Source organism: Homo sapiens, chromosome 8 (assembly GCF_000001405.40).
Source record: "Homo sapiens chromosome 8, GRCh38.p14 Primary Assembly".
Taxonomy (NCBI): Eukaryota; Metazoa; Chordata; class Mammalia; order Primates; family Hominidae; genus Homo; species Homo sapiens.
In genome coordinates, this window is record NC_000008.11 from 53,978,991 (window position 1) to 53,998,175 (window position 19,185).

Consider the following 19,185-nt stretch of genomic DNA (forward strand, 5'->3'; position numbering starts at 1 on the left):
ATATAAAAATAAGAATCTATAAACAATCACAAACCTGTGTGTAAGTGCAATTCTTCTTTTTACATTTGCCACATGTGAACAAGTCAGTCTGGGTCCCACCAGTCTTGGCCATCTGATGCTCTCTGATGGCTTCTTTGGTCAAGTTTTTCCGCATCTCTTTCAGCTCATCACTAGCCATTTCCTATGAGGTAGGGGGCAATACCACTCAGTTATAGACACCTTCTATATATATCCTGAATGCTTTTATGCTCAATTAGCCTAATAATAATAAAACCACATATCAACCTTTAAGGTTTTAAAAGCATTAAATTAATATTTTTCCTCAAAGGCTTTGTAAGAGTTTAATTCCTTTTAAAAATTTCTTCAAATACTTAAAAGTTTACATGTGAAAATTGGATTTAAGTACTGTTTAAAGGCTACTAAAACCACCTTTGCAAAGATTATGACAGTGAGAGAAATTGAACATGGCTGACTCCATCTTGCTTCTAGTGTCACAGGCTGGCTGTCTTCCCTCTTTCCTGGGCACAGGCCAAGTTAACCATGGAAGGAATTTAGTTTAACTTTGATGCAAAGATGGTAACAGTCCTTCCCTAAAATCGATCCCTCCTTGTTCAGAGCCTGAGATCACCTTTGTTAAGACTAATGAAATGCCAGAGGATTAGGATTATGGGACAGGCCTGAACTCTGCTAAAATGTAGACATAGTTTCTATAATCCCTCACTGCTCAGGAGTCATGTGGCCAGAGGACACAAAGTGTGTGACTTCCCCAATTGCTCCTATAGGTAACATTATTATTGTAGAACCTGAGATTGGTTTTTTGAGATGTTTTTCAGACTGACCCCTCCAGAACTCAGGCCCCTCACCCAGAGGTACAGAAGGACCAGTTCCCACATCCCTATGATTGCATCCCCAATCAATCAGCAGCACCCATTCCCTAGTCACCTAGGAATAGTTACCACCAAACTATTCTTGTAAAACCCTAACCTCCAAGTCTTCAGGGAGACTAATGTGAGTAATAACTTCGTCTCCTGCATGGCCAGCCTTGCATTAATAAAACTCTTTCTTAACCGCAATAGCGCAGTCTCAGTGAATTGGTTTTGTCTGTGTAGTGGGCGGGAAGAAGCTGTCAGGTGATTACACTATGAACAATGTAAACTTACAACGAGTACCTCTAGTATCCAGATTATAGTTTCTAATAGCATTGCCTACACCCCACTCCCAAAAGAAGTCAGGGATCTCTGGAGGAATGCCTGATTCCAGTTTTGAGGCAAGAAATGTATAGAATATGCCAGGGTCATCTTCTCACGCCAGTTTTTACCAGCTACAGTCATACTTTGCTTTATCTTGCTCTGCGCTATTGTGCTTCATTTTATTGCACTTTGCAGTTACTGCATTTTTTACAAATTGAAGGTCTGCAGCAATGCTGTGTTGAGCAAATCTATTGGCGCTATTTTTCCAAAAGCATGTGCTCATTTCATGTCTCTGTGTCACATCTTGGTAATTCTCACAATATTCCAAGCATTTTCACTATTATTATATCTGTTAGGTAATCTGTGATCAGTAATTTCTTATGTTACTATCACTGTTTTAGGGGCACCACTAACTTTGACCACATAGGACAGTAAGCTTGACAAATGCTGTGTGTGTTCCGACTGCTCCACTCTTTCCCCGTCTCTCTTCCTCTCCTTGGGCCTCCCTACTCCCTGAGACACAACAATATTGAAATCAGGCCAATTAATAACCCTACAATGGCCTCTAAGTATTCAAGGACAAGGAAGAGTCAACATGTCTCACTTTAAATCAAAACCTAGAAATAAGACTAAGTTTAGTGAGGAAGGCATATGGAAAGCTGGGATAAGCCAAAAGCTAGGTCTCTTACACCAGTTAGCCAAATTGTGAATGCAAAGGAAAATTTCTTGATGGAAATTAAAAGTGCTACTCCAGTGAACACATGAATAATGATCAAAATAGCCTTATTGCCGATATGAAAACGTTTTAGTGGCCTAGACAGAAGATCAAACCAACCACAACATTCCCTTAAGCCAAAGCCTAATCCAGAAAAAGGCCTTAACTCTTTAATGCTGAGAGAGATGAGGAAGCTGCCGAAGAAAAGTCAAGAGGCTACCAGAAGCTGGTTCATGAGGTTTAAGGAAAGAAGCTGTCTCCATAACATAGTACAAAATGCAAGGTGAAGCAGCAAGTGCTGATGGAGAAGCTACGGCAAGTTATCCAAAAGATCTAGCTAAGATCATTGATGAAGGTAGCTATTCTAAACAAAGATTTTCAATGTTGATGAATATTGGAAGAGGGTGACATCTAGGACTTTCACAGCTAAAGAGAAGAAGTCAACGCCTGCCTTCAAAGCCTCAAAGGACTTTGAAGGACTCTCTTGTTAGGGGCTAAAGCATCTGGTGACTTCAAGTTGAAGCCAATGCTCATTTACCATTTGGAAAATCTTACAGCCCTTAAGAATTATGCTACCTCTACTCTGTCTGTGTTCTATAAATGAAACAACAAAGCCTGGATGACAGCACATCTATTTACAGCATGATTTACTGAATATTTTAACCCCACTATTGAGACCTACTGCTCAGAAAAAAGATTTCTTTCAAAATATTCCTACTCATTGACAATGCACTTAGTCATCAATATGCCTAGTCATCCAATAGCTCTGATGGAGACATACAAGGAGATTAATGTTATTTTCATGCCTGCTAACAACAACATTGATTCTGCAGTTCATGAATCAAGGAGTAATTCTGACTTTTTTTTTTTTTTTTGAGACAGGATTTCACTCTGTCACCCACGCTGGAGCGCAGTGGTGCAATCTCAGCTTACTGAAACCTCCACCTCTTGGCCTAAAGTGATCCTCCCACCTCAGCCTCCTGAGTAGCTGGGATTACAGGAACGCACCACACCATGCCCAGCTAAGTTTTCTTTTTTTTTTTTTTTTTTGTAGAGATGGGAACTTGCTATGTTGCCCGGGCTAGTCTCCACCTCCTGGACTCAAGTGATCTGCTCATCTCGGCTTCCCAAACTGCTTTGATTACAGGTGTGGCCACCATGCCCAACTGACTTTCAAGTTTTATTATTTCAGAAATACTTTTTGCAAGGCTGTAGCTTCTACAAAAAGTAATTCTTCAGATAGATCTGAATAAAGTAAACTGAAAACCTTTTGGAAAGGATTAACCATCCTAGATGCCATTAGGAACATTAGTGATTCATTGAGAAGAGGTCAATATGTCAACATTTAGAGGAGTTTGAAAAAAGTTGACTCCAATCATCATGGATGACTTTGAGGGGTTTGACTTCACCAGAGAAAGTAACCACAGAGGGGCCAGGCACGGTGGCTCACGCCTGTAATCCCAGAACTTTGGAAGGCCGAGGCGGGTGGATCACCTGAGGTCAGGAGTTTGAGACCAGCCTGCCCAACATGGTGAAACCCTGTCTCTACTAAAAGTACAAAAATTAGCTGGGCTTGGTGGCGGGCGCCTGTAATCCCAGCTACTCAGGAGACTAAGGCAGGAGAATCGCTTGAACCCAGGAGGCAGAGGTTGCAGTGAGCAGAGATCACACCACTGCACTCCAGCCTGGGCGACAACAGTGAAACTCCATTCCCCACCAAAAAAAAAAAAAAAAAAAAAAAATGAAAGTAACCACAGATGTAATGGAAAAAGCATGAGAAGGAAGATTAGAAGTAGAGCTTCAAGATGTGACTGAGTTGCTTCAATCTCATAATAAAAGCTGAATAGATGAGATGCTTCTTGTGGAGGAGCAAAAAGTAATTTCCTGAGATGGAACCTATTCCTGGTGAAGATGCTGTGAACATTGTTGAAATGACAGCAAAGGATTTAGAATAATATGTCAACTTAGTTGATAAGGCAGCAGCAGCATTTGACAGCACTGACTCCAATTCTGAAAGAACATCTACTATGGATAAATGCTATTAAACAGCATCACAGGCTACCAAGAAATATTTCATGAATATTTGCTCCATCAATGCATCAAATCTCACTGTTGTCTTATTTTACAAAATTACCACAGCCACCTCAACCTTCAATAACCACTACCCTAATCAGTCAGCAGCCGTCAACATCCAGGCAATTCCCTTTTCCAGAAAAATAGTATGACTTGCTGAAGACTCAGATGATCATGAGCAATTTTTAGCAAGGTGTACATTGTTTAGCAAGGTATAAGGTGTACACTGTTTTCTTAGATGTAATGCTATTGTACATTTAGTAGATTATAGTATAAGCATAACTTTTATATGTACTGGAAAGTCAAAAAATTTGTGTGACTCGTGTGTCACTTTATTGCAGTAGTCCAATCCAAACTTGCAATGTATCTGAGGTATGTTTGTGTACAGAAGAAAAATTCACTCTCTTCAATGTTCACTAAAACGTTGAAATTGTAGATACAATATAGCTAATATCTATGAACAACCATGTCTATAAATAGCAAGCTATAAATTTCATTTTTTCCATAATTCCCTGTAAAAATTTAAGAAATAATCAATAGGATGGGCACAGTGGCTCACGCCTGTGATCCCAGCAGGAGATTACAGGAGCAGGAGAATCTGAAGCAGGAGAATCGCTTGAACCCGGGAGGCAGAGGTTGCAGTGAGCCAAGACTATGCCATTGCATCCCAGCCCAGGCAACAAGGGCAAAATTTCGTATCAAAAAAAAAAAAGAAATAATCAATATGATGTGACCAATTTTATAGTGTTTAACCACAAAAAAGGTTAGCACTTACAAAGTGTACTTGCAATTAAGAGATTCAACTCTCTGGTTCTACACTAATTCATAAAAAGTAAAAAACACTTGGTGGCCAGCCGTGGTGGCTCACACCTGTAATTCCAACACTTTGGGAGGCCAAGGCGGACAGATCATCTGGAGGTTGGGAGTTCGAGACCAGCCTGACCAACATGAAGAAACCCTGTCTCTACTAAAAATACAAAAATTAGCTGGGTGTGGTGGTGCACGCCTGTAATCCCATCTACTTGGGAGGCTGAGGCAGGAGAATCGCTTGAACCCAGGAGGGGGAGGTTGCGGTGGGCCAAGATCGTGCCATTGCACTCCAGCCTGGTCAACAAAAGCAAAACTCTGTCTCGAAAGAAAAAAAAGTAAAACACGTTTGTTTTTAGAAAATAATTTAGTGTAATCACATTAAAAGCATGGAAACAGTTGGAGGGGGAGCAAAGTACTGACAAAAGACACAATCACCTTAAGTATTTGTCTAGTATATAAATATATCAGAATAACGGAAATTTATTACATATGCAATATTTATATAGTAGTCTATGATGATAATAGGCTTTACACTTCACAACACAGAATCACATTATAGAAACCTCAGATTCACACATACTCACCTCTGCTGTCATTCTAGCAAATAAGTCAGGAGGAATATTCCCACAGAGGACATTTTTCCTTAAATTTGGATTTTTTGCATCTTTAAGATTTGATATCCTACTTCGTACTCTATTTTTGTATTTCATGTCTGTATTCCTTATTTCTTGATATATAGGTACCAGGCCGTTAAGGAAAAAAGGCAAAATTACAAAAGTAAGATCACTTTTTTTTCCTGTTCTGCCAAAATAAGAATTCCTGAGGCCAGGCACGGTGGCTCATGCCTGTAATCCCAGCACTTTGGGAGGCTGAGGCTGGTGGATCACGAGGTCAGGAGATCGAGACCATCCCGGCTAACATGATGAAACCCCGTCTCTATTAAAAACACAAAAAATTAACCAGGCATGGTGGCAGGTGCCTGCAGTCCCAGCTACTCGGGAGGCTGAGGCAGGACAACCACTTGACCTGGGAGGCAGAGGTTGCAGCGAGCTGAGATCAGGTCACTACACTCCAGCCTGGGCGACAGAGGGACACTCCATCTTAAAAAAAAAAACAAACCTGAAATTTCTAAGCAATTCACGACAACTGTTTCCAATTTAGAGTATGTTAAAAACAAGGTACTATATCTAATTCCTTGAGCTGTAATTGGCGAATAATAGTGATATTACTTTTACACTGTAAAGTAGTTGTTTGTTTTGAAGGTGGGTAGAAGGAGTCTCACTCTGTCACCCAGGCTGGACCTCAGCTCACTGCAACCTCCACCTCCCGGGTTCAAGCAGTTCTCCTACCTCAGCCTCCCGAGTAGCTGCTGCGATTATAAGCGCCTGCCACCATGCCCGGCTAATTTTTGTATTTTTAGTAGAGACGGGGTTTCACCATGTTGGCCAGGCTGGTCTCAAACTCCTGACCTCAGGTGATCCACCCGTCTCGGCCTCTCAAAGTGCTGGGATTATAGGCGTGAGCCACCGCGCCCGGCCTAGTCATGTTTTATTTCCTAAATGTTTAGTGCCAGCAGTATGCAAGTCAACAGGGTTTCAAAAAGTAACTCAAGTACTCAACATGAGAAAGCACATGTTTGAAAAGGAGCTTGAACTTATTCAAGCTTTACTTGCCCAAATCCGAATTCTACTAAGGATCCTAAAGTCTCTCTGGTCACACAGTTCCCACAGGGTCTCTGAGAAGAGACCATTCAGCATGGCCGTGAGGGTTCCTCTCCTCCCCCAGCTCAGCAGGAGCTACCTCAGCAGGCTCTTCTTCTCTGCAGAAGAGGCCACTGCCAAAGCTGAACCCTGGAACAGCTCCCTTCCTAATAAGGCCATTTCCTCAACCAGGACAATCTCATGTTACACAGCCACCTAGATGCTCCCTGCCCCTACTCACACACAGTACCCCTCTCCTGGAGCCCTTTCCCGGTGCTTAGCAAGAACACGCTTCCTCTGGGATAATGAGCTCAGGTGACTGTGTGTGCTCTGAGGTCCCCCTAACTGAGAAGTCTTCACATTTATATGTGTGTGCTTTCCATGCCCTTTTGCACAACTTAAATTCAGACACTACAGTCTCAATCTACAAGGCAGAAAAATTTAAATGTCATAAATGCCATCAATACTGTACTTTCCTTTTCAATAACAGGAAAAACAAGACAAATAAAATGACATAGATGTCCCTCTCCTTTCCAAGAAAACAATACAATCAAGATAAAAAGTGAAGAATAAGACTTTGAATTCTATACCAACAGGAAAAATTAAGCTAGCAGATTACTTAAAACAATTATGACCACTTGAAGTTGTGTGACACCAAGAGACCTTTCTGGCTGGTAGCAGAAGTAATAGATGTCACTCCTCAGCAGTAGTTTTGAAAGCCAGTATGCAATTTATCCATTTTACCTTCTGCCACATCACCACTCACAATGGCCAATCCACCTGCCTGGTCCTAGAGGACAATGACCCAAAGCCCAGAGTCCTCAGCTAGCCTGTGATGAACATATAGGACAAATACATTCCTGTTTGTCCAGTTTAATCTGTGAAAGAAACCTCTGTGGTGTTAAGCCACTGAAATTTCAAGGTTGTCACCATAATATAACACAGCCTGTCCTGCCAAGTACATAAAGTCAATCTTGGACACTCATGTTTTGCTAGGAAAGCGAAATTCTTTAGGTTTTCAAATTGCCAACGAGATACACCCAATGTTCTCATGTATTTTGTAATCTCTTCTAATTATGTTATCGGTTTGCCTTTCTTGTTCTCAATCATATTTTCACTCTCCTGCTATCTGAAGCAATTTTACTAGGGATTTATATGTTTCAGTTTCCAAAGAGCCAGGTCCTTTTAAACTTCGCTGTTTCTAGTTCATTCAGCTTCAACATGAAGGAAAAAGTCTAGCGTGGTGGTCAAGGTCATGGGCTTGGAGCCAAATTCCCTACAATGGAATCCCAGCCCTGTCAGTGTCAGGCTGTGTGATCTAGAACAATGACCAATCCTCTTCTGCTTCTGTTTTCTCTCTGTAAAATGGGATGAGAGCACCTAATTCATTGGAAGGACTACTGCATGTAAAACCGTGCCTGGCATTTGCATATGTTCAATAAATATTACTTATTAAAAAAAACAATTATGAATATACACACAAAGGATATCTTCTTCAATTTGAGATCCTAATTCTTCCTCATCAGCTCCAATTGCAATGTAGTCATCTAAAAATAGGCATAAAGAATTGTCAAATTATTGTAACAGATTAAAAGAAAATTCTAATACCAGGTAATTAAACTGCATTCCTATTTCTTAAACCCCATTTGCCTGACATAAAGAAACCGTTCAGTTTAGTTCGTTAGAATCTGATCACTTCACTGCCCGCTAGACTTCTTTTCTGGGCTTCACCTGATACCCACAGTGCTCCTGCACTGATGATTCCTGATCCCTCAGGCACAGGAAGTAACTGATCTAGCAGGCAATTCATTTTTCGTAACTCCATAAATTCTGGCTGCTCCAGCAGAGTAGAGAAAGTTACAGAAAGAACTGTCTAGTCTCCTGTGACTCAGGCTTCAATGCAAAGAAATCATTTAGTTAATCTGCCAATCACATATACAGACACACTCAGAAGACTGCTATACAAATATGCAAGAGGATAGAAGGAAATAAACTAGGCAGAAAAAATAAAAGAGACAGTCAGGAAATCAAAGTAGAAAGGGCAGAGTAAGGAGAAAATCAGGTCAAACTAGCCATGGTGCAGAATGAGAGAAAAGAAAAAGGATGAATTCGTATAAAATAACAAATATTCCTGTATATAAAACTTTAAATCCAAATGTTACATGTTAAGACTGGATACTTTCAAATTAAATTAAGCTCCCATATATAAATCAAGACTCACCCTCCCTTTTTCTAACTAGAAAATGGAAAACATTCATACTATATGTCATACTATTCAACAATTCAGTATTGTTAACTCTCAATATAAGATCAGGGTATGTAGTTTGCAGATTAAATTGTGGGGAAACAAAAGATTTGTGAGAAAAAAGTGTACATTACTATGAAATCAGGGAAAACATCCATGTATTAGAGGGAATCTATTTCTTACAATTACATAGTAATAAGCAAATGCCCCAGTATTCCTCCTCCTCTCCCCCTTAACAGACCCGTATCAGCAACAACTTCTCCCCAAGCTAAGCAGCAGTGGGTGGGCTATCCACAGGGTAACACTCATCAAACAGCAATATGGAGTTGGAGATGGCAGTGGTTGTGGGTGGTGACCAAAGGACTGAGAAATAACATGCACTGGACTTACCCCCTGTTCGAAGAGCTGCAGCAAGCATCTCCCTACACTTCAACCGCACAGAATCAGAAGTGCTTGGTGCCCGAGGAAAGGATGAAACATAAGTATCTCGAGCATTTGTCTCATCCTTTCTGTTGCTTACATTGCCGCTGGAAGTACTGAAATACGCACAAACACCCCAAAAAGAAATCAAGAACAATCCTTTCAAAGTAACAATACTACTATCATGCTGTAAAAACAAAATTTGGGGTCTAAATAAATGACACAGTATCTCAGTGACCTTTATGTGATGGAAAAAAAATTGCCTGCATACAGATTAAAAAGAAGTTAAAAATTTTACAATTTAGTAAAGTGACAAGTATGCCTTTTTTTTGAACTAAACATTTTATCTTTGATTCTCATTTTAAATATTAAGCAATATTTTTAATAGAGAAAATACCCATTATAGCTCAGTACAATAAATGAAAAGCAATGATCTTGGTATAAGGAGAGGGATGAAGGGATGGGACCAGAGAATGACAGCTTTCTTTTTTGAGACGGAGTCTTGCTCTGTCACCCAGGCTGGAGGGCAATGGTGCAATCTCGGCTCACTGCAAGCTCCACCTCCCAGGTTCACACCAGAGAATGACAGCTTTCAACCAAAACTAGAGATAGAGAGAGAGAATGCTTGAAAAACTCTGTTTCACTGGGCATGGTGGCTCACAGCTGTAATCCCAGCACTTTGGGAGGCCAAGAGAGGCAGATCACTTGAGGCCAGTAGAGTTCAAATCCAGCCTGGGCAAAATGGTGAAACCCCGTCTCTATTAAAAATACAAAAATTAGCTGGGCGTGGTGGCACACGCCTGTAATCCCAGCTACTTGGGAGGCTGAGGCAGGAAAATCGCTTGAACCCAGAGGCAGAGGTTTCAGTGAGCCAAGACTGCACCACTGCACTCCAGCCTGGGTGACACAGCGAGACTCCACCTCAAAAAAAAAAAAGAACAAAAAGAAAAAGGAAAACCTTGTTCCACTTAGACAGTGAGTTCCCCAGTGAGACAAATACCATGTGTACTGATGAGTCATGAGGCTACAAAATGGTGTGTTTCTCCCCAGAAACATCACCTCGATATGAACATTTAGGCAGTTTTATAATTTTCCAGTCAACCTAATCCTTTCAATTGCTTCTGAGTAGCTTCTTACGTTGGATTATCACTAAAATGGGTTCTTTCCAAAATAATCTTCATGATTACAATTAAGCTTTATCACATTGAAAACAGCTGCCATAACCCTTTTCAAAGACTGATTAAATCATCCACCATCCATAGATGTGGTTTGCTGCAATGCTACAAGAACATACTCCCTTGCCTTCTCTCCAAAACATAACCACTGTTAAACTTCACAAACAGGTGCCTGTGGGTCAGACGGACATTAGTACCTTTTAAATTTAGTCAGTTCCTTTTTGAAGCCTTCACTGATTTCCCCCTGTATTCCCAAAATATTGATTCACACAGGTTTGTATATGATAACTTTTCATACATTTTCTTCTCTATCAGACTGAGTTTCTCAAGAGCAAAAACTAGGATTTACTTTTCTTTGTATTTTCATTATGTAGCATAATGCCTCTCAGTGATAAATGAATGAGCAAACTAATGCTTAAAAACCCATTTATTATTTTTTTTTTTAAGACTCCAGCCTGAGCAACTGAGCAAGACTTTTCACAGTGGTGAAGAGAGCAAGAGTTGTGCAGTGGTGCCATCACAGCTCATGCAGCTTTGAACTCCTGGGCTCAAGCAATCCTCCTGCCTCAGCCTCCTGAGTAACTAGGACTACAGGTGCATGCCACCATGCCCAGTTAATTTTAAAAATATTTTTTGGCCGGGCAAGCTGGCTCATGCCTGTAATCCCAGGAGTTCAAGAACAGCCCGGACAAAATAGTGAGACCCAGGGTCTACAAAAAGAGTTTTAAAAATTTGCCAAACATGGTGGTATGCACCTGTGGTCCTAGCTACTTGGGGGCTGAAGTAGGGGGCTCGCTTGAGACTGAAAGGTTGAGGCTGCAGAAAGCCTTGACTACGCCACTGCACTCCATCCTGGGTAAAAGAGCAAGACTCTGTCTCCAAAAAAAAAAAATAATCCAACAAACAAACCTTTTTTTTTTGGTAGAGAAAGGGTCTATGTTGTCCAGGCTGGTCTCAAACTCCTGACCTCAAGTGATAATTCCGCCTCGGCGTCCTAAAGTGCTTGAGCCACCGTGCCAGGCCCCAAAACTCATTTCTTTTCTTTTTTTTTTTTTTTTTCTTTTGAGACAGTCTTACGCTGTCACCCAGACTGGAGTGCAGTGAAACAACCATGGCTTACTGCAGCCATGACCCCCAAACTCAGACGGTTCTCCTGCCTCAGCCTCCCAAGTAGCTGGGACCACAGGCATGTGCCATCACACCTGTCTAATGCTTTTTATTACTTGTAGAGACAGGGCCTCCCTATGTTGCTCAGGCTAGTCTCAAACTCCTGGGCTCAAGTGATCCCCCTACCTTGACCTCCCAAAAGTGCTGACATTACAGGTGTGAGCCACCACACCCAGCCAAAAACCCAGTTCTTAAACACTTTGATTAAATGCTTTTGCTTCTGTGTCTGTAGCCAAATGCTCCACAGGAACCAAGGGAAATTGCCCATATGGGCTGAGGGAAACTTTTCCTCACTAGTTTCACTACTGCTGGTCCCACTTCCTACATTCTGATCCTTCCTTTCTAAGCATTTAAACACATTACTTTCTTCTTAAATTCTTGCACCCAAAATATAAAATCCTGCTTAGCTACAAGCAACTTAGATTTAACCTTCTATCTTTCTTTACATGACTCCTCAAAATTCATTTCTCAATCCTCCTGTATTTCTGTGTGTGTTGGGGCGGGGATGGGGTGTAGATAGATACCAATCAGTTACTTTATCAGACTTCACATACAGTAATTTTCTTTTGCAGACAGGCTCTATACCTACACGTCAAGCACGTAAAACTGATAAAAGACAACGAGAGGCCAGGCGCAGTGGCTCACGACAGTAATCCCAGTACTTTGAGAGGCCAAGGTGGGTGGATCACTTGAGGTCAGGAGTTCGAGACCAGCCTGGTCAACATGATGAAACCCCATCTTTACTAAAAGTACAAAAATTAGCTGGGTGTGTTGACGTGCACCTCTAATCCCAGCTACTCGGGAGGCTGAGACAGGAGAATCGCTTGAACCTGGGGGACAGAGGTTGCAGTGAGGCAAGATTGTGCCACTGCATTCCAGCCTGGGCAACAGAGCAAGACTCCGTCTCAAAAAAAAAAATAAAAACAAGGCTGGGCGCGGTGGCTCAGGCCTGTAATCCTAGCACTTTGGGAGGCCAAGGCGGGCGGATCACCTGAGGTCAGGAGTTCAAGACCAGCCTGATCAAAATGGAGAAACCCCGTCTCCACTAAAAATACAAAATTAGCCAGGCATGGTGGCACATGCCTGTAATCCCAGCTACTTGGGAGGCTGAGGCAGGAGAATCCCTTGAATCCAGGAGGCAGAGGTTGCGGTGAGCTGAGATTGTGCCATTGGACTCCAGCCTGGGCAACAAGAGTGAAACTCTGTCTCAAAAAATAATAATAATAATAATAAAATAATAAAAACAAAGACAATGAGAGACTGAGGAACTATTCCAGATTTAAGAAAACTAAACGGATATAACGTTAGAAAAAATTACATAAACTTTATTAACAACTGCTGTTTAAGCCTACCTTTGACTTACCTCTTTTAATATAGTTAATATGTTTAATATATATATTTAATATAGTTAATACAAATACAAAAAAATAACAGTGTATGAGACATTAACATTAACATGAAGAGTACATGATCAATTTTGGGAAAATATTGAGAAACAAAGTTAAAATCGGTAGTTGCCTTAATGTCCTAAATACCTCAACACGGGCTGGGTGCAGTGGCTTACGCCTATAATCCCAGCACTTTGGGAGGCTGAGGCAGGTGGATCACCTGTGGTTGAGAGTTCAAGACCAGTCTGGCCAACATGGTGAAACCTCGTCTCTATTAAAAATATAAAAATTAGCCAGGTGTGGTGGCATACACCCATAATCCCGGCTACTCAGGAGACTGAGGCAGGAGAATCATTTGAATTTGGAAGGTGGAGGTGGCAGTGAGTCGAGATCGTGCCACTGCCTTCCAGCCTGGGTGACAGAGCAAGACTCTGTCTCAAAAATAAAAAATAAAAAACCCCAGGCACAGTGGCTCACGCCTGTAATCCCAGCACTTTGGGACACTGAGGAGGGCGGATCACCTGAAATCAGGAGTTCAAGACCAGCCTGGCCAACATAGCAAAACCCCATCTCTACTAAAAACACAAAAATTAGCCAGGTGTGGTGGGCGCCTGTAATCCCAGCTACTTGGGAAGCTGAGGCAGGAGAATTGCTTTGAACCTGGGAGGTGGAGGTTGCAGTGAGCCAAGATCGCACCACTGCACTCCAGAGTGGGCGGCAGAGCAAGACTCTGTCTCAAAACAGGTATCTGGGCCCCTCCCCACCAGAATTCCTGATTCAGTAGTTACAGGACGAAGTCTGAGAATCTGTATTTCTAACAAGCTGTCAGGTTCTCTCCTCTTCCAGGGACCACACTTTCAAGAACCATTGCTTTAAATCAATGTTGACTGTTAACCTACCAGCTTCCCAAGAACAGAAGAACGATTTGTATTTAACCAACTATGAGTAAGCAACATGTTCAATACTGCATAGTTCGTGAGATATAATAGGAAAGAACACATGCAAAGGCCTCATAGGAGGTGAGGGACAATCTGAACTCTTTGTTAATGAACTTCACATTTTAAGTTCTTATAACAAATGGCTTTTTTTTTTTTTTTAAGATAAGGTCTCACTCCATTGCTCAGGCTGGAGTGCAGTGGCATGATCTTGGCTCACTGCAACCTCTGCCTCCCGGGTTCCAGCAATTCTCCCACCCCAGCCTCCCAAGTAGCTGGGACTATAGACACATGCCACCACACATGGCTACATGGCTAATTTTTTTTTTTTTTTTTTTTTTTTTGGTAGAGAAAGGGTTTCACCGTGTTAGCCAGGCTGGTCTCGAACTCCTAACCTCAAGTGATCCTCCCACCTCAGCTTCCCAAAGTGAGCCACTGTGCCTAGCCACAAATTGCTAAATTCAAAAGGAAGAAAAAAAGCATGCAAAGGAGAATGAGATCAAGGGCCAAAATAAATCTAAAAAAAAAAATGTGGTAAATAGAGGAAGCAACCATTTGAATCCCTAATCACTACCTCCATTATCAATTCCATCAGTGCCTACCCCAGCAATCCCATTCAATTAAACTTGTTGAGTACAATATAAATAACTTCTTATTTATTCAATGTCTTCTACCTCTCAAATGTTCAAGAAATCTGAAAAAAAAATAAATTAGAATACATGGCTACATACATTTACTACTTCCATTTGATTAGAAAACAAAAAAAGGAGTGTAAATAGGGGAACATTAGACAGGGGAATTGATGCAGGAAGTAAAACTATGACTTTCAATATAAATATATGTCTATACTGTGAAGTACCTTTCTTCTCTTGCCTCAGGGCTGTTCTGCGATGTAATTGCAGGTTCTTTCTTCTTTTCGTCAAGGTCTTTCTCAGTTGATGGCCCATCTGAAAATTATGAAATCTCTTAAGTTGCTAGCATTTGTAAAAACTAAAAACTAAAATACTGCGTTAACAGGCTATTTGCACAACATGAACTAAAATCCTAAGTTTCCTACAAGTAGATGAAGTTTGCATAAGCTATTAGCATATGTACTATTTTTCACAATGCAAGTTCAGTCAACACTCCCAAATAAATTCCCTCATTTGGTGGGAACTACAAATTCACATGCCATGGGAACCTAAAGGGAGGAAAGTATATGGAACAAAGAGATGGGAAGAATATGGAAATATCTGCACTGTTACTTTAAAAATGAAAGCACAGGCCGGTGCAGTGGCTCACGCCTGTAATTCCAGCAGTTTGGGAGGCTGTGGATCACTTGAGCTCATGAGTTTGAGACCAGCCTGGGCAACATGACAAAACTCTGTCTCTACAAAAAATACAAAAATTAGCCGGGCGTGGTGGTGCACACCTGTAGTCTCAGCTACTCGGGAGGCTGAAGTGGGAGGATGGCTTTTGCCCAGCAGGTGGAGGCTGCAGTGAGCCAAGATCACACCACTGCATGCCAGCCCAGGCAATAGAGCCAGACCTTTTCTCAAAATAAAGTCAAATAAAATAAAAATTAAAGCATACACAGCAATATTGTTTTTAATAAATTTCCATAAAGTTAGAAAATTTAAGGTGGTATCCAAAATATAAACAAATATTTCTGGGATGGTAAACAAAAAACACTTTCATAGAAAATACCTCAGGATGAGTAAGACCTACCCAGTACCTTCTCTATCTTAAATGAACTATAAAGTAATACAGAGTGCACAAGCTTTAAGACTTAAAGAGGCGGCCAGGCACAGTGGTTCATGCCTGCAATCCCAGCACTTTGGAAGGCCACGGCGGGCAGATCACGAGGTCAGGAGATCAAGATCATCCTGGTTAACATGGTAAAACCCCGTCTCTACTAAAAAAAATACAAAAAATTAGCCGGGCGTGGTGATACGCGCCTGTAGTCCCAGCTACTCAGGAGGCTGAGGCAGAAGAATAGCTTGAACCCAGGAGGCGGAGGTTGCAGTGAGCCGAGATCATACCACTGCACTCCAGCCTGGGCAACAGAACAAGACTCTGTCTCAAAAAAAAAAAGAGGTAAGCAATGAGATATTATGAAATAAGGTACATAAAAATAGGTTGAGTCAGTGCAATATTTCAATAGCCCAAAGAAACATTCACTTTTAAATCAATCAACACAGTCTTAAATTTTAAAACTGGTGCCTGCCTGGGGTCAAATGTGGTGGCTGACACCTGTAAACCCAACACTTTGGGAGGCTGAGGCAGGTGGATCACTTGAGGTCAGGAGTTCAAGACCAGCCTAGCCAATATGGTGAAACCCTATCTCTACTAAAAATACAAAAATTAGCTGGACATGGTGGTGCACACCTGCAATCCCAGCTAACGCTGAGGCAGGAGAATCATTTGAACCTGGGAGGAGGAGGTTGCAGTGAGCCGAGATTGTGCGACTGCACTCCAGCCTGGGTGACAGAGTGAGACTCTGTCTCAAAAAAAAAAAAAAAAAAAAAGAAAAATTCAGTGCATGCCTGTAGTCCCAGCCACTCAGGAAGCCCAGGCAGGAGGAACGCTTGAGCCCAGGAACTTGAGGCTGCAATGAGCTATAACTGCACCACTGCACTCCAGCCTGGATGACAGAGTGATACCTGTCTCAAAAAAAACAAAACAAAAACAAAACACATAGCCTTGAAGCTAAGTTCAGAAAACGTTTGGGTCTACTGTACAAAGTATACCAGTTAAGTACATTTTGCTCCCTACATAAGCAATAAAGGCTACATAAAGAATTCTTTCAATTCTTCACATCTCTCTGTATAGAATATAGAAGAAACTATATCCAACTGGATAGCAGAATCACCTAGGGAGCTTTTAAACATATCCTCATGCCAAGCTCCGAACCAGATCCATTCAATCCAAATCTCTGGCAGTGAGGCGCAAGCATCATTATTTTTTAAAGTTCCTTAGACAACTCTAATATATAGTTGTCTGGATGAGAATCACTGATAAGAGAATGGTTGAAATCACAACTGTAGAACTCATCTTGTAAAGTTGAAGTTTGTCAAACCTAAAACACAATTCAAGCCCTCTGATAAAACACGCACATACACTTTAGTCTTCACATAATTTTACTGCTCCTTGTTATTCTCAATAATTTCCTTGAAGGCTCAAATCCCAAAGATGCTATAGTACTGTAACACTGAAAACAAAGATTAATAATGACACATGGCAAGGACTAAGAAATGGTCCAAAAGTAATAGGGTAGAAAGCATTTAAAAGGGAAAACTGATATAACAATGAAATATGATCCAGCAAGGATCCAATGCTGCCAAAGGGACAGCAGAACTATCTCACACACTGCTCTGGCACAGTGAATTAGTACAATCCTTTTAGACAGCAGAGCAGTAAGAGGCATGAACAGCCTCAGAAGCATTCCTACTATCTGATACGGTGTTGTGGGCAACACAGTCCAGCTAGCTGGGAAGGAGGTGCTCCAGCTCTGGACTCCAGCTGTCTGCAATCAAGTCCCAGCTTGGCTATTCACCACTGATTCAACTGTGTGCAAGGTATTTAACCGCTCAGTGCCTCAGATTCCTCATCATAAAATGGAGATTATAATAGCACCTACCAAATTGGATTGTTGTGAGGATTAAATGCATTAATACAGGTCAATGCTTGGCACATCTTAAGTACTCAACAATGTGCTACCTAGTAGCAGTAGTAGTAAATGTAGAAATCTAGCTAACAATGTAAAGAAAAAGCTTTAGGCAGAAAGATATCCATCAAGACATTAGTTACAACCACCATAAAGTTAAAAACAAGAAATCTAACAACTGGCAAGTGATCAACTAAAATATGGTATAGTCAACTGAATAAATCATTCTGAAACCAATAAAAATAATAGTTATGATAGAAAAACAAACTATTTTCATTAAAAAAGGTAATATAAATTAAGTACACACACAGCATAGGTAAAATTATAGTAGGGGTAAAATTTATGCAAATTAAATTTGAATAGTAATGTATTACAATCCATTATACAGAAAAGGAACCTGCGAGTCTACACTAATGGATAACTAGCTAAGGGGTAAAAAGAAGGTTGTCTTTTTTTTTTTTTTTAGACAGACTCTCACTCTGTTGCCCAGGCTGGAGTTCAGTGGCGCGATCTCGGCTCAGTGCAAGCTCCGCCTCCCGGGTTCACGCCATTCTCCTGCCTCAGCCTCTCGAGTAGCAGTAGCTGGGACTACAGGTGCTCACCATCACACTCAGCTAATTTTTTTGTATTTTTTTAGTAGAGATGGGGTTTCACCGTGTTAGCCAGGATGGTCTCGATCTCCTGACCTCGTGATCTGCCTGCCTCAGCCTCCCAAAGTGCTGAGATTACAGGCGTGAGCCACCATGCCTGGCCAGAAGGTTCTTCTTCTAACAGAATGATGATTTTATAAGTATTGAAGCAGAGGAGTCAGAAAAATCACAATTTTGCAACTACTACTACAAAGATTGGTTTGAGCAAAAAATCAATGGATCCTAAATTGGGAGGGGAGGAAAAAGATTTGTTAAGGTGTAAGACAGTTTCAGGATCTTAAAAGTGTCTCCCACAGAATGGCTATTAGCTACAAGAGGAAAAACAATACACTATACAGTGTGGCTTTGACTAGATTCTCAAAATTACTATCAATCACTCTGGATATGATACCTTGAGAAGGACATAACATGCTTAAACAGTATTCCAACTGGGGATGTACAACCTGATCTAATCATGAGAAAAAAGCAGGTACACCTCAAATAAGGAATATGCTATTAAAAACAAAGGAGGGGCCAAGCGCGATGGCTCACGCCTATAAACCTAACACTTTGGGAGGCCAAGGCAGGTTGGATCGCTTGAGCCCAAGAGTCCAAGACCAGCCTTAGCAACATAGTGAGACTCTGTCTCAAATTAGTAAATAAATAACAAAGGAGGGCAGTGGCGGATGCTTGCAATTCCAGCTACTCAGGAGTCTGATGTGAAAGACTGCTTGAACCCAGGAGTTGGAGGTTAGCCTAGGCAACATAGCAAGACCCCTATTTCAACACAAAACAAAAAAAGTGGTGGGAAAGGGGGTGGATAGGGGAATAAACCTGCTTCAAGGATACAACTTAAAAATGTGGGAAATTCTGCCTTGAATATATTTCCTAGTTTACTTTTAAACCAAAATCCAATTCCACTTTGCATTCATTACAATTGGTCATTTTCTGCATATTGTATAACATATCCAAGTTCTATTTTTTAAGCCCATTATGAATTTGATAAAAATCTGATTTGCATGAAAGTATTTTAAAATACACATTAATGATGGTTACATGAATGTATATGTAAGATAAAATTGCTCAGAAGGA

General features: G+C 41.1%; 2 protein-coding genes across 8 annotated transcripts in view; both read right to left on the reverse strand.

Annotated features, from left to right (window-relative positions):
* Positions 1 to 19,185, reverse strand: part of LYPLA1-TCEA1 (LYPLA1-TCEA1 readthrough) — a 135,392-nt gene that overhangs the window by 12,435 nt on the left and 103,772 nt on the right. For all 4 annotated transcript variants that reach the window (NM_001425841.1, NM_001425839.1, NM_001425842.1 and 1 more), the window contains 5 exons: positions 14,678 to 14,765; positions 9,124 to 9,269; positions 7,979 to 8,035; positions 5,373 to 5,527; positions 35 to 181 (listed from right to left, as the gene is read on the reverse strand). In NM_001425841.1, coding sequence (NP_001412770.1) covers positions 35 to 181; positions 5,373 to 5,527; positions 7,979 to 8,035; positions 9,124 to 9,269; positions 14,678 to 14,765 — 593 coding nt within the window. The remainder of the gene's footprint in view (positions 1 to 34; positions 182 to 5,372; positions 5,528 to 7,978; positions 8,036 to 9,123; positions 9,270 to 14,677; positions 14,766 to 19,185) is intronic.
* Positions 1 to 19,185, reverse strand: part of TCEA1 (transcription elongation factor A1) — a 55,893-nt gene that overhangs the window by 12,435 nt on the left and 24,273 nt on the right. For 3 of the 4 annotated variants that reach the window (NR_109901.2, NM_201437.3, NM_006756.4), the window contains 5 exons: positions 14,678 to 14,765; positions 9,124 to 9,269; positions 7,979 to 8,035; positions 5,373 to 5,527; positions 35 to 181 (listed from right to left, as the gene is read on the reverse strand). Coding sequence is in view for 2 of the 4 variants with exons in the window: in NM_201437.3 (NP_958845.1) it covers positions 35 to 181; positions 5,373 to 5,527; positions 7,979 to 8,035; positions 9,124 to 9,269; positions 14,678 to 14,765 (593 nt within the window). In the remaining 2 variants the exon portion in view is untranslated. The remainder of the gene's footprint in view (positions 1 to 34; positions 182 to 5,372; positions 5,528 to 7,978; positions 8,036 to 9,123; positions 9,270 to 14,677; positions 14,766 to 19,185) is intronic. The other variant, NR_109902.2, reaches the window with a different exon arrangement.